Below are 14853 nucleotides of genomic sequence, written 5' to 3' on the forward strand. Positions count from 1 at the left end.
AGGCATAACTCAAGTGTCCATTGACAGATGAATAGATAAACAAAAAAGTGGTATATATGTACAATGGAGCATTCTTCAGCCTTATAAAGGACATTCTGATACATGCTACCACATGGATGGACCTTGAAGACATTGGGCTAAGTGAAATAAGCCACTCACAAAAGGACAAATATTTTATGATTCTACTTATATAAGGTACCTAGAGTAGTCAAATCCACGGAAACAAAGTAGAATGGTGGTTACCAGGGCCCAGGGGAAAGGGGACATACAGGTGCGCGCCTGTAGTCCCGTGCGCCGAGATCGCACCACTGCACTTCAGCTTGGGTGACAGAGCGAGACCCTGTCTCAAAAATAAATAAATAAATAAAATAACCATATTAGGTTTCAATTAGGAAAACATAAATCACTCTAGATATTTTAAACAAAGAGAAATTAATACCAGGAATTGGTTATAAAGGTGTTGGAAGGAGAAAAAGAAAAAAAGTCTCCAAAAGATTACCAATTGCAGAAAGTGACTACTAACCCTGGGACTGAAGAAGAGGGAAAATTGTGTCATCCGGGGCCCAGAAACATTGTGCCTCTGAGGCTACCATACCCAGACGTCCGCCCCCGTTGGTGACAGCCTTTGCCTGTACAACCTCTTCTCTCCCCACCCTCCTCAAGAGTCCTCACCCCGACCCTGTGACTCCCAAAGGCATTACCAGAAATGGGGAATAAATGGCTGCTTGCTTTCTCTCACTTTCCAGTCTCCTGCCAGTGCCTCCTGTTGGAAGATCCTAACAGAATAAGCTGAAAAGGATTCTGGGAAATGTAGTTTTCAGGCTTCCAGCCTAGGGGAGAATAGAAGGGCAGGCTGATTGAGGATAGACATTATCCAATCCATAGGCCTTTAAACAAAGTGATCAGGAAAAAAAAAAAAAAAGGAGCAGCAATGTGGGGGGAAAAAATGAAGTTTTAAAACTCACAGGATTACTGTGGACATTTATTACCTTCTATCCAGTCTTTGGTTGAACTGCCCATTACTAATCCATGGGATTATGTGGGGCTATATCACCTCCTATTCCACAGGGGTGGACAAACCACCCAAACACATCAATCCCTGTTTCCTGTCCCCTTGAGCAGTGATTGGGTCACAGGCAGGTATGTGATCCAAGCAGGACTATTCACAGCCAGTTTTAGGAAATGCTGGGGGTAAAAAATATTTCTTACTTTAAGAGATCATGAGCCATAAGGATCCCGTAAGCCTGAAGCTGCTGGATCATATTCCTGCCATGGAAAGAGTGCCTAATTGGGAATATAATGTCAGCTTTTTTAGCCACTGTGTCAACTATGGGTTAGTGTTGGACCTCAAATAAATTTAAAACCCTGAAACAGCTGCTTCTGCTTCTCTCTAAAATTTTATCTTCAAAGCTTTCTCATGTGAAATGTTGCTAATGCAGTTCTCCTCACTCTCACCCGACACAGTGGAATTTTTCTTCACCCTAAATGCAGATTTAACAAGTTCAGTGATTTCCTTGTATAACCTTCTAGAGTTTCACTCAAGAGCTCCCCTCACAATATGGGTCCCTGTACTGTGACCCTATAATTATGTGCCTTGGGAACATCTGTAAATAATTACTTTGGATGGGGTCCAAGCAACTTTCTGCTGAGTTCAGTTGTATACAGAAAGGTGTCTCTGTGACCTGCCAGTATGTTTGTTTCCTTAGCTGCTTAGTGATAACAGGGGTCACCAAAGCCTAAACAAACCGAGAAACCACAGCCTCTCACCCAACCACTAGGTGAAAATTAGAACACCTTGTATGCAACCAAATATTGATGGAGTATCCTATGTCTGCAGTTATCGCTATGGTTTTATATAACTGGAACTCTTTCTGTTGCAGGTAACAAAAACCCAAATCAACCCAGCTGAAGCACAAACGGGAATTTGTTATTTTTTGTAAATGAACATTTTAGGGAAATCCTCAAGTGTGATTAGATCCAGGTGGTCAACTGCCCCTAGCAGGAGTCTCTCTCTCTCTCTCTCTCTCTCTCTCTCCCTCCCTCTCTCATCTCTTAGAAGCCCCTATCTCCTTTATTACTGAGGTTACCATGTTGCAATTCTGTTCAAGCATCTCAGGCAAACACAGTTCTGGTACTTGGTGAGAGCACATCTACAGAGTGATGTGCCATTCAGGAAGTTATTCTTCGAGCAAGAGGTGAAAAAAACTCAAAGGACATAGGTGGTGGCCTACCAAGGATGGAGCCATAGGAGCCATCTGCCTCAGCAGGAAGGAAACTTTTATCCAGTGCTTGATTGTTTAGAGTCACTTGCACTGATGATAATAAAGGGCAGGCTGACTTTTACTTAGGTTTATTATTTTTTAAAGTTACCTACAGACAATGCTCCCTTAATTTCTGCATTAAGTTCGTTGCTCCTACTACCCTGTCTTTGGCTGCACCACTATATATAGTAGTCCCTCCTCTCCCTCAGTACCCCTACTGGAAGAGATTATCAACAACCACAGCTTCACCTACCACCTACTGGCTAGTGCTTCTGAATCTCTCTCTCTCTTCCTTGGTGGGATCATCCAGCTGCCTAAAGCACGTTTCCACTTAAACATCCCACTGTGTCTGATACTGGACTCTACCTCGGCTTCTCCCACTGCAATTCAGATCTCAGAAGATGCATTTATATAACAAGCCATTAAAAGCTGTCAGGAATGTGTGAGATGCATCCTCATCTTTAAGACAAGTCACTAAGGGCCTCCCTCAAACTGCTCCTCTTGGGGGCTTCTCAGAGACAAGGCTCTCTGCTAAACATTCTGTGGGGCTGACTCAATGTGACCTGACATTGACATCAAGTTATTTATTCACAAAACCCCTTTGCAAATATCCAAGACACATGGAGCTTAAGGTTTCCCCCACTGCTTCTCTGACAAGAAAAGGAACACAGCGCAAGTCACGTTCCTCACTTCTCGCCCTTTGTTCCTGCCCGGACTCCTGCCTTCCTGCGAATACATGATGTCCAGGCCTGGAAGATTCATTAAAGAATGCCTGCATAGCTTCCCTAGTGGCCTCCTATGTATAGCTGGGAGGCCCTGAGGCCCACCTGGGGCAGTTGAGGCAGGGCTTGGAGGTAAGGGAGCACCACGGTGTTCAATCATATCTGAAATCTATCTCCATCCTGACCCCTAGACACCAGAATTTCAAGAGAATTATTTAGATTTGTTTCCACGATGCCCCACCTCCAACCCCCAACCCTGACAAAAGTGGTTTGTGCATGATATTAATTAAAATATCTCCCAAATGCCCAACCGTTTCTTTTATATTTACACACTCGCCTATTCTTTCCAACCACCCTTTGAGGGTTGGAAGTTATTTCCCCCACTTTAGAGAAGAGGAAATAAGTCTCAAATAGATTCATAAGACTTGGATGAGATCCCACAGCTGGTGACTGGGGGAACCAGGACAGAAATGTGGATCTGGCACTCCAAGATCTCATGCTATCCTCATGGGCAAGGAGCACTGTCACCACCCTGCATGCGGCTACTCCATTCACAAACGCCTCCCACACTGGCCTGTCCCAGTAATCAAATTACCACCCCTGGAGAGCCATCGCTTTGAGTAACAGTTGCGTTATTATACACTGGCTTGTATAAATTCATTTATCAGATTACCTCCTGAGACTACAGAACCAGGGATGTGGGCCTCTTGCTGGGAAGAAAAGGAAGGCACAGGCAGCCAGCCCTGCATGGAAAGAGGAGGCTTGCAAGGAACGCCCCAATGAGGTCTGAGCCCCTTAGGGCATGGGAATTCCTGGAACAGTATAAGGACCAGCAACAAGACAGTATGTTTGCCTTCTGGCTTGTCTAGAATCTCTATCCTCAAAGAGAGTCAAAATTAGGTGCAGGCATCACCCCCTACCCCTGCTCTGTCTGCATTTACCTGCCTGCAATCTTAAGGCCAACTCTGCTCAGCAGAAGGACAAACTTAAGGAAGGACAAAAGAGATCATATACGAGATTGTAACTTACACTGGTGTTCTTCCCTAAAGCCAATGGCCCATCTGATTCTGTCATGGTTCTAGAGAAGCATCAGTTCTAACCATGTTTTTGGCCATTCATGTATTCATCTGTTTACTCAAACGACATTCCCTGAGCACTCCATGCTGGCTTCACCATCCACACCCTCCAGGCCATCACTGACTTCCCAGCTCCGGTTCCCTAGTGCTCAGCCAGCCCTAGCCTCTTCCTAAAATACCAAACTCCTTGGTTAACTTGACCATAGATTAAAGTTTCTTAACCTAGGACTCATTGACTCTTGGAAGCAATCAATGGAACATTTGCACATTTTTATTTATGACTATGAGGTTTTCTGGGAAACAGCACCTTCGTTGGTTTCATCAATTACCCACAAAGTGACCAATTGCTTAGGTCATTACCACAGCAGTGTTGCAATGTTATTCTTCTGAAGGGGCTTCCAAAAATACAGAATGTACTACAGAATGCAACCCTTCAAGTTTGCAATGATGGGTACTATAAAAGGAATGGGTGCACAAATGAACCAATCGTGTAGTTTTGACTTTATAATAAGTTCATTTTTAAAATGAGGATTAATTTTATTCACATTTGGTAACAAGAAGCTAGAGCTGTCAACACAGACATTTATACATGTCACAAAAACCCTAAAATAGCCCTTGTAGCCAGCCACTAGCTTCCATAAAGCTGATGCCTTAATGGAACCATTCTTCCCTTATTGCAAAAATAGCCTCCACATTGATAAACATGTTGTCAACTGTGGCAAAGAAATGTAGGTTTGGGTTTTTTTTAAATAGTAATACTGCTGTTTTGTAGGAAGAACTGTTTACATTATATTTTCAGATTAATATTAGATTGGTATATTTTAAGTAGAATTTTGAAGGGTGAGAGCGGGTTTTCCTCTGTAGAAGTAAGATTAATTCACACTCTTTTAAAGAAATGAATCCAATCTGGTGTGATAGCTTTCCTGCTGTTTGCTAGCTGCATTGAGGGTTTTAGCAGTTAATTTGGAATCCCAACAAAATCATAGCAAGCAAAATAACATTCAACACTTTATATGCAGAGAAATTTGTGATATTATCTGTACTTAACTACTTTGCCCCTCTCCCTTCACTTTTCTTTCTTCCCTGATAATTTTCTGAGCTCAGAGCAGGGAATCTACTCTCAGCCAGCTTAAAATGCTTGATATCCTGAATAACCATAAAGTAATTATTGAGTGACTACTGTATGCCTTGAGTTGCACTGGGCTTTATTGGAGGTACTTTAGGAAAGGCAGTACTTCTCTCTAGGGAATTGGTGCCACATATGAGATAAATAGAAAGCAATGTAATTTAATATCTAATTAAGTACTAAATTGTGAAGTGTTGACTCAAAGTGCTATTCAAATTTAGAGAACAGAGATGGTTTGATTCTTGGGACAGATTTGAAGTAAAGGTAAAAATTAGGTTAGATCTTGAAAGAAGATGGTAGTGATAATACTAAAACCAGTACCATTAATAGAAAATAAAGTACCAATTTTTACAACCTACTATATGTCAGCAACCACTTTGTATGAGTAATCTCATTTAATCTTCAGAACTACCCATTTCACAGATGAAGGAACAAGCTCAGAGAGGTTAACAACCTTCGCCAGTGAGGAATCAGGTTTGTCTGCAACCTAAACACATCATGTTCTTTCCAGCACACTCCACATACCACCTCCCCAAGATGTGGACAACAGCACTCTTCCTCTTCTCTTAATGAAAATTGTCTTTTAATGATTTGGAATTGTAAAACTAAATAAAATTCAAGAAGAGCCATCCCCTGGCTGCACCTAGACTGTCAAATGGTAGACTTGGTTTCTTAGCTGACTTGGGGAAGCTTTGGTCATTCATTTGGTTCAAAGTGTGCCCTAAATCCCTGAAGGAGTGGAGTGAGAAGTAGGGGACTAGAAAGAAAACTAGGAACTAGAAACTAAAGTTGGGAGGCCAAAAGGAAAGTCCTCACTCCCAAAGTAGGAGGAGGCAAGCAAATGTTTAGCTTTCTAAGAGACTTGACCTTATGCTAAGGAACTCCAGGTAAAGAAAAGGGACCCCAATGAAGTCACATGGATGCCTGGGAAGCCAAGTCTACATGCTGTTATACCTAGAATCACAGGTCATGCAATTTAGTTTCACTGTAGGGTATGTGATACCCAGCCTCCAAGATGGCCCCAGTGACCCCACTTCCTGGATTCAGACTTTTAGGTTATAAAAGACTTCTAAGGCTCTTCTCTGTCTCTCTCTGTCCCTCTCTCTGTATCTCTCTCTTTCTCTCTCTCCCCTCCCCTCCCTTTCCCTCTTCTCTTCTTCTCTTCTCTTTTCTCTTCTCTTCTCTCTTCTCTTCTCTCTCTCTCTCCCCTCCCCTGCCTTTTCCTCTTCTCTTCTCTTCTCTTTCTTTCTCTCTCTCTTCCCTCCCCTCCCTTTCCCTCTTCACTTTTCTTTCTCTCTCTCCCCTCCCCTCCCTTTCCCTCTCCTCTTCTCTTCTCTTTCCTCTCCTCTCCTCTCCTTTCTCTCTCTCTCATCTCTCACATTAGCAGAAGCCAGTTACCATGTTATGAGCAGCCCTATGGAGAAGCCATGTGGTAAGAAACTGAAGCTTCTCAACAACCACATGTGGGAGCTTGGAAGCAGATTCTGCAACCTGAGTTAATCCTTAAGACAACTGGCCCAGGTTACACCTTGAATGCAACCTCATGAGAGATCCTGAGCCAGAACAACCCAGCTAAGGTGTGCCTGGATTTCTGACTTCAGAAATAATAGAGATAATAAGTATTTGTTGTGTTAAGCTGCTAAATTTTTTATTAGATCTTAGTAAGCTAATACAGGGTAGGATGGGCCTTAACAATCAGATAGGAGAGCTGCTCTTGACAAATATAGCTCAATGGAAGAAAATGAGCTCTGTGAGTCTCTTTCTCATGCTCCTGTTTCATGCTTCTATAGAGGCTATTCCTTCTGTCTGGGGCATCTTCCTCTACCTGTCTACCTGTCTGCCTTGCAGGTGTGGCCTCAAATATTACATCCTATAGAAGTCTCCTCTGATCTCTCCTCAGCTGGATAGTTCCTCTGTCTTCTAGGATCCCTCTGCTTCTCCCCACACCAGGCTTTCTTTTATCACAGCCACGATTTGTTAGGACTCATTTACCTGTCTGTCCACCCCACAAAAATGTGAGCAACATGAGGGCAGGGCTAATCCCAGCATCTAGCTAGATACCTGGCATGTAGTGGGTGCCCAGAAAAGTATGGGTGGATTTCCAGGAGCTCAGAGCCAAGGAAAGAACCTGGAGAAGAAAAGCAACTGCAAAGCAAAGGATGACTGGCTTGAAGAGTAAGAAGAGGATTTTGGGGCTACACAGAAAAGGAACTTCCCCTCAGAAAAGCCACGGTCCAGCACGGGGGTCAAGGCACACAGGCCACCTGCCTCAGGACAGAAACACAATTCACACTGGGCTGAGGAGGGTGACTTGGGGCCCATAGCTAGACATGAGATCAGAAATTAGCTCTGGACAAGACGCAGCACCCAGCCAGGCCTTGATGTTATGCCAACCCAATCGACCTTGACCTAAAAGCCAAGCTATATTTAATTAGGAGCCAGACAGAGCTGCCATCAGGGAAAGGAGCCCAGGGCCAGGTGTGTGATCAGCAGGGTCAGCTAGTCTAACCTGGGACTAGGCTTTGGTTAATCATAAACTAGGTTTCTAGAAGACGCTCAGGTGTAAGGCAAGGGTGGAGGGGATCAGCATGCAGGCGTTTTCCATTTGTTTCCTTTTTAAGATTTAATTTGGGAAAACTTGGTTCAAACTCAGAGAAAAAGGATATTTTTCACATCTTCATCAAGACACATGGAGAGGGAAGGAGAGGATTGAAATTATCTTGGATTCCAGTACCTCCGTATTTAACCTGGAACTGCACAAATACCCTAAAAAATCCAGGTATGTCAGGTCATTATCACCAACAGCAGCCGCAGCAGCAGAACACTAGTAGTCCGAAATCAAAGTTTGATGGTGAGTTTATTATGGTTGCATCTCTTAGTCCCAGGTAGGGAGACTGTCCAAATGGGATATGCTCTGTTATTATCAATCACTTCCTCCAGCAAGTCAACCCCCACACGATTAACCCAGCCCAACTCCAATCACCACCTTCAAACCTCAGAACTTATGTACATTTATATCCCTCACCAGGCTCTGTTTTGAGAAAATGGGTTTGTATTTACACTCTGTTTTAGCTAGAGAACTTTAGGAACAAGAGAAACCCAGTTGTAAATGTTTTCCTGTTTGCCACTTGTTTTTACTTTGCACATGGTATTTTTTTGCCATTCAGAAAATTTTCATTTCTATTATCAGATTAATTAATCTTTTCTTTTATGCTATCTAGGTTTTGTGCCATGTTTAAACATGCCTTCCTCATCCTAAAGTTATATATTTTTTAGAGTCTCACATGTTTTCTTCTAAATTTTTTATGGTTTCATTTTTTAAATCAACTTTATTGAGGTATAAATTACATACGATAAAATGCACCTGTTTCAAGTATACACTCCAGTGAGTTTTGACAAATATATACAGCCAAGTAATGCATTATAAGTAAGAGCAGTCCCATCCCCTTAACAAGTCTCCATCCGTTGCCGGGCGCGGTGGCTCACACCTGTAATCCCAGCACTTTGGGAGGCTGAGGCAGGTGGATCACTTGAGGTCTGGTGCTTGAGACCAGCCTGACCAACATGGTGAAATCCTGTCTCTACTAAAAATACAAACATTAGCTGGGTGTGGTGGCAAGTGTCTGTAATCCCAGCTACTCGGGAGGCTGAGGTAGGAGAATCACTTGAACCTGGAGGCAGAGGTTGCAGTGAGCCAAGATCGCGCCATTGCACTCCAGCCAGGGTGACAAGAGCAAAACTCCAACTCAAAAAAAAAAAAAAAACAAGTCTCCAACCCTTTATACTCAATCACCACCCCACCCTCACTCCTAGGCAACCATGGATCTGCTTTCTTTCCTTTTAGATTCGTTTCGCTTGTTCTAGAATGTCATGCAGAATTGTACAGTATGTGTTTTGTATCCAGCTTCCTTCACTAAACCTAATGTCTGTGAGGTTCATCTATGTTATTATGTGTATCATCTTTCTTTTTTATTGTTGAGTAGTATTTCATTGTATGGATAAACCACAATTTACTTGTCCCTTCACTTGTTGGATATTTTCTAGTTTTGGATTATTATGAATAAATCTGCTTGGCTTCACTTCGTTTTGTTTCTTTATTTTCTGATGGCTTACTTTTTTAAAATACTTTATTTTTCAGAGCAGTTTTAGGTTCACAGCATAACTGATGAGAAAGTACAGAGTTCCCACATACGTCCCGCTGCCACATGTGCATAGCCTACCCCATGATCAACATTCCTCCTGCACCACAGTTGCATATTTGTTAAAATCTGTGAACCTTTAGTGACATGTCATTGTCAATTCAAAGTTCATAGTTTGCATTGGGGTTTAGTCTTGGTGTTGTACACTCTATGGATTTTGACAAATACATAATGACATGTATCCACCATTATAGATTCATAGAGAATAGTTTCACTGCCTTAAAAATCCTCTCTGCTCCAGTAAAACAAACTACCAACAGAGTAAATAGACAACCTACAGAACAGGAGAAAATATCTGCAAACCACGCATCCAACAAATTGGATCCAGCAAATCCAAAAGATTCTGCATCCAGAATCTATAAGGAACTTAAATCAACAAACAAAAAACAAATAATCTCACTAAAAAGTGAGCAAAGGGCATGAACACACTTCTGAAAAGAAGACATACAAGCTCCACCAAACATGTCAGAAAATGCTCAGCATTACTAATCATCAGAGAGATGCAAATCAAAACCACAATGAGACACCATCTCACAACAGTCAGAATGGCGACTATTAAAAAGTCAAAAAATAACAAATGTTGGCAAGGTTGCAGAGAAAAAGTAGTGCTTATACACTGTTGCTGAGAATGTAAACTAGTTGAGCAACTGTGGAAAGCAGTTTGGAGATTTCTTAAAGAACTTAAAACAGAACCACCTTTTGACCCAGCAATCCCACTACTGGGTCTATACTCAAGGAAAATAATTTATTCAATCAAAAAGACACATGCACTTGTATGTTCATTGCAGTATTATTTACAATAGCAAAGACATGGAATCAACCCAAGTGCCTATCAAGAGTGGACTAAAGAAAATGTGGTACATATACATCATGGCATAGCATGAGCCATAAAAAAGAACAAAATTATGTCTTTTGCGGCAACATGGATGCAGCTAGAAGCCATTATTCTAAATAAATTAATACAAAAACAAAACAAAATAACACATATTCTCACTTATAAATGGCAGCTAAACACTGGGGACACACTGAGACAAAGATGGGAACAATAGGCACTGGGGACTCCAAAAGGGGAGAGGGAGGGAGAAGAGCAGGGGTTGAAAAACTGCATGTTCACTATTTGGGTGACAGGATTAATAGAAGCCCAAACCTCAGCATCATGCGATATATTCGTGTAACAAATGTGTGCATGTACCCCCAAATCTAAAATTTAAAAGAAATCAAGTATCTAATAAACAACATATCTCATCCATATCTCATCCTCTGTTCTCTGCCTAGTCATCCTTTGCTCTCCCCAACTCCTAGCAACTACTGATCTTTTTACTGTCTTCATAGTTTTGCCTTTCCAAGAATGCCATATAGTTGGAATTATCTAAGATGTAGTACTTTCAGATTGGCTTCTTTCACTTAATGATATGCACTTAAGTCTCCTCCATGTCTTTTCATGGCTTGATAGTGGGTATCTTTTTACTGCTGAATAATATTCCACTGTATGGAAGTACCTCCATAGTTTATTTATCCATTCACATACAGAAGGGCATCTTGGTTGCTTCCAAGTTTGGACAATTATGAATAAAGCTATTATAAACATCCATGTGCAGGTTTTGTGTGGACATAATTTTGTAGTTCATTTGGATAAACAGGACATAGTAGAAGTAACTTTAGTTTGTAAGAAACTGTCCAACTATCTTCCAAAGTGGCTGTGCAATTTTGCATTCCCACTGGCAGTAAATGAGAGTTCCTATTGCTCCATGTCCTCACCAGCATTTTGTATTGTCAGTGTTTTCGATTTTGGCCATCCTAATGGGTGTGTAATGGTATCTCATTGCTGTTTTAATTTGCAATTCCCTAATGACATAAGATGTTGAACATCTTTTCACATGCTTATTTGGCATCTGTGTATCTTCTTTAGTGAGATGACCAGGTCTTTTGCCCATTTTTAAAATCAGATTGTTTATTTTCTTATTGTTGAGTTTTAAGAGTTCTTTGTATATTTTGGATAACAGTCTTTTTCAGATATGTTTTGCAAATATTTTGTCCTAGGCTGTGACTTGTCTTCTTACCTTCATGACTTGGCTTCACTTTTTTATTTAAATCTTTGATCCACCTGGAAATTATTTTGATCTAAAGAATGAGGTTAGGAATCCAGGTATTGTTTGGTTTTTATAGATATGCTAATTCAGTTATCTCAACATGACTTATTGAATAATTTATCTTCCCCCAGTGATTTGAAATGCCACTTTCATGCTAAATTTTCATATGTACTTAGATCTAAAAAACAGAATGCTTTTTAAAGTCTGTATTTTGTGGTTACTTAAAATAGAGGGCACCTATATATACCTAACATTATAAACCACTGTTGTGTAACTGCATTGGGCTGGGATTTCCCCAAGGACTTATTGGGGACTCCATGAGAACAGAGGCCATTAGCCTGGGAGCTCCTTGAACTTGTCTACTCTCTCAAACTGACCATTCCCTAAGGGCAGGAATCCAACTGTACCTATAAAGAGGCCTTCCCACAAAAAGACATTCCTTCCCCCATTAGATAAAAGGGCCCTTTTGCTTCTGTGAAGATGAGAATGCCAAAGGCAGAGGCTGTGGCCTCTGTATCATCTCCACAAATCACTGGATACCTGCCTGGAATACTGGCCATTCTCTCCTCTTTATTGATTGTCTCTCCACTTCTTAAAACTGTGTTCCTGGCCTCAGGGCCTTCTGAAGAGAGGGTGGCAATGTGTGTTGTGGACCAAGTAAAAGTGATGACCACCTCTGTTTGGTGTCCAGAGCTGACATTCCTCCTGGACAGCAGAAAAACACTTGGGGATAGAGGGTTGCCTTCCCTTCAAAGTCAGGCCTCTCAGGAAGTCAGGTTCCTTACTTCTTGGCCAGCTCAGTGGTCTGGGCAGGAAGAAAAGGTCTTCAGCTTCGTGACCTCTGCATGTCCCATTCCTCACCTCCTCCAGAACTGTTTTGCTTTCCTCTGCATTGCCAGCTGCTGCCCTCCCCACCCTGGGCTTCTCCTTCCTTTTGAATGTTTTATTTTCCTTTTCATAAAAGATAAGTTTGCAGCTTTCCTTAAGAGATCAGGATGGAGTTGAGCAGAGAGTCCTCTAGGTGGAGTAGTTATCTATGGAGACACAAAGAAGGGGATGTTGATGAAACCCTCAGTATCATCAGTGAGGGTTTCATCAATATCCCCTTCTTTGTCTCACCACAGATAACTACTCAGGAACCTGAATTGGGGGAGTTTTAGTATTTTCAAGAATTCCACATGTCAAAGTTACTCACTGCTGCCCAGACTTTGTGTTAGCAAAAATTCATTATTATTATTTCATAAGGAATAAATTAATAAAACATGCAATTAAATGTTCCCTTTTAGCAACTCTATATCATTAAGGCCTGCAGGCTCAGGTCTCCACTGATGAGCTTGCTCCGCAGGCAGATCTGAGACAGAGGCTCAGCTGCTCAGGTGAGATGGGGCAGCCAGCAGCCCTCCGCTGAGCCCCACAGTAAGCAGTGGAGGGAGAGACTAGCGCAGAGGACAGAAGGGCACTAAGGGATGTCAGGGAGGGGTTGGGAGGTTGGAGGGTGCATTTCCAGCTCTGATACTCACCACTGTTTTCACTAGAGTCTCTGTTTCTTCATATCTAAGATGATGGTGGCAATTCCCTCTCACATGATTGTCATGAGGATGAAATGAAGCTGCATATAAAGCAGGTATCTGGCATATAGGGACTTGAATGGCACTTACTATTCCAATCAAGTCATCCAAGACTCATTACAGTGGCCTTGTTGTAGTCATGGAAAGTGTTCATAGATTAGCACCTCATACTGCAATGATGAATTTGGGTTGATAATTATTTTACTTTATTTTATTTTATTTTTTTGAGAGGCAGAGTCTCACTCTGTCACCCAGGCTGGAGTGCAATGGCACAATCTCGGCTCACTGCAACCTGCGCCTCCCGGGTTCAAGTGATTCTCTGCCTCAGCCTCCCAAGTAGCTGGGATTACAGGCACATGCCACCACACCCAGATAATCTGTTGTATTTTTAGTAGAGACGGGGTTTCACCGTGTTAGCCAGGATGGTCTCGATCTCCTGACCTTGTGAACCTCCCACCTCGGCCTCCCAAAGTGATAATTATATTTTTATAAAAGATGCCATGCATTTTCTCTTTTTGTTTGTTCTTGATTGACTAAAACAGCAGAAGGTGCCATGTACTTTCTTCCTCATCCCCACCCACTTACTCTCCCCCTTATCTTTGGCCCTCCATCTAGCAGAAAATCTGTATTCCTCTATGAGTACTCTAAGCCACACCTACAATCGCCCTAATCTAACATGACTGATGTCCTTATAAGAAGAGGAGACTGGAACACAGATACACACTGACAGACAACCATGTGGCAGGGTCCCAATGAGAAGGCAGCCATCTGCAAGCTAAGGAGCAAGACCTTAGAAGAAACCAAGCCTCCCAAAATGTCCATCTTGGGCTTCTAGCCTCCAAAACTGTAAGCAAATTTCTGTTGGTGGAGCTACCTGATCTGTGGTACTTTTTGTTATGGCAGCTCCAGCAAACTCATACTACCCACCTCTTCACGTGGCTGGCTCCTTCTTATTCTCTGTTTTCAGCATGAATGTCATATCCTCAGAGAGTGTGCCCCTAACCACTCGGTCTAAACAACACCCTCCTCTCATTTGTTTTTCCATAAAATTGTTTACATTGTAAAATTATTTTACTTACTGACCAGTGTATTGTCTGTTTTACAATAGAATATAACTTCAGCGACAGCTGTCACCTTGTCTGTCTTACTGCTCTGCTAGGACAGTACTTGGCACAGGGTAGGCATGTGGAAAAATATTTCTTGGATGTCCATGTTGCCAAGTGCCAATGAAGCTACAGAGACAAATATGAGATGGCTCCCAGCCTGGGACAGCACAGTGCCTTTCGTATGCCAGGAATCTTGGCACTCAGGGAGTACATGAGCCCAAGGTGTGGACAGAACGGGGTCTGGTGAGGTCAGCCCAGAGCTGCGGAGGCCTAAAGTAGGGGAGAGAGATTTTCCAGAGGGAGGCATATCTGAAAGCCCAAAAGAATGAAACAACTGTGTGAGTATGAACAACAGCAGCAGCTCAGCAGGCCTAGAGTAACTTGTGCTTGTTCAAGGCAGGAGGGTGGGAGGGAGAGGTAGACACGGATTTCACCATGAAAGGCTTGAGTGCCAAGCTAAGGGATTTGAACTTTCTTTTATCTATTCCCACCCCTCCTCTCCCTTATAAGTAGAAAAATGAATAAATTCAACCTACAAGGTTTATCTCATATACTTATATGTGAGATAATATGTTATGTAAAAGCATCCACCAATAGGTCAGATACCTAGCTGATAAAAATCAGTTGAATAAAAGTTAGTTGCATAACTGTCAATAGACATTTTCTTTCTTAGACCCAAATGGATGGTGGACAATTTCTCACCCA

This window comes from Homo sapiens, chromosome 3, assembly GCF_000001405.40.
Source record: "Homo sapiens chromosome 3, GRCh38.p14 Primary Assembly".
NCBI classification, from domain to species: Eukaryota; Metazoa; Chordata; class Mammalia; order Primates; family Hominidae; genus Homo; species Homo sapiens.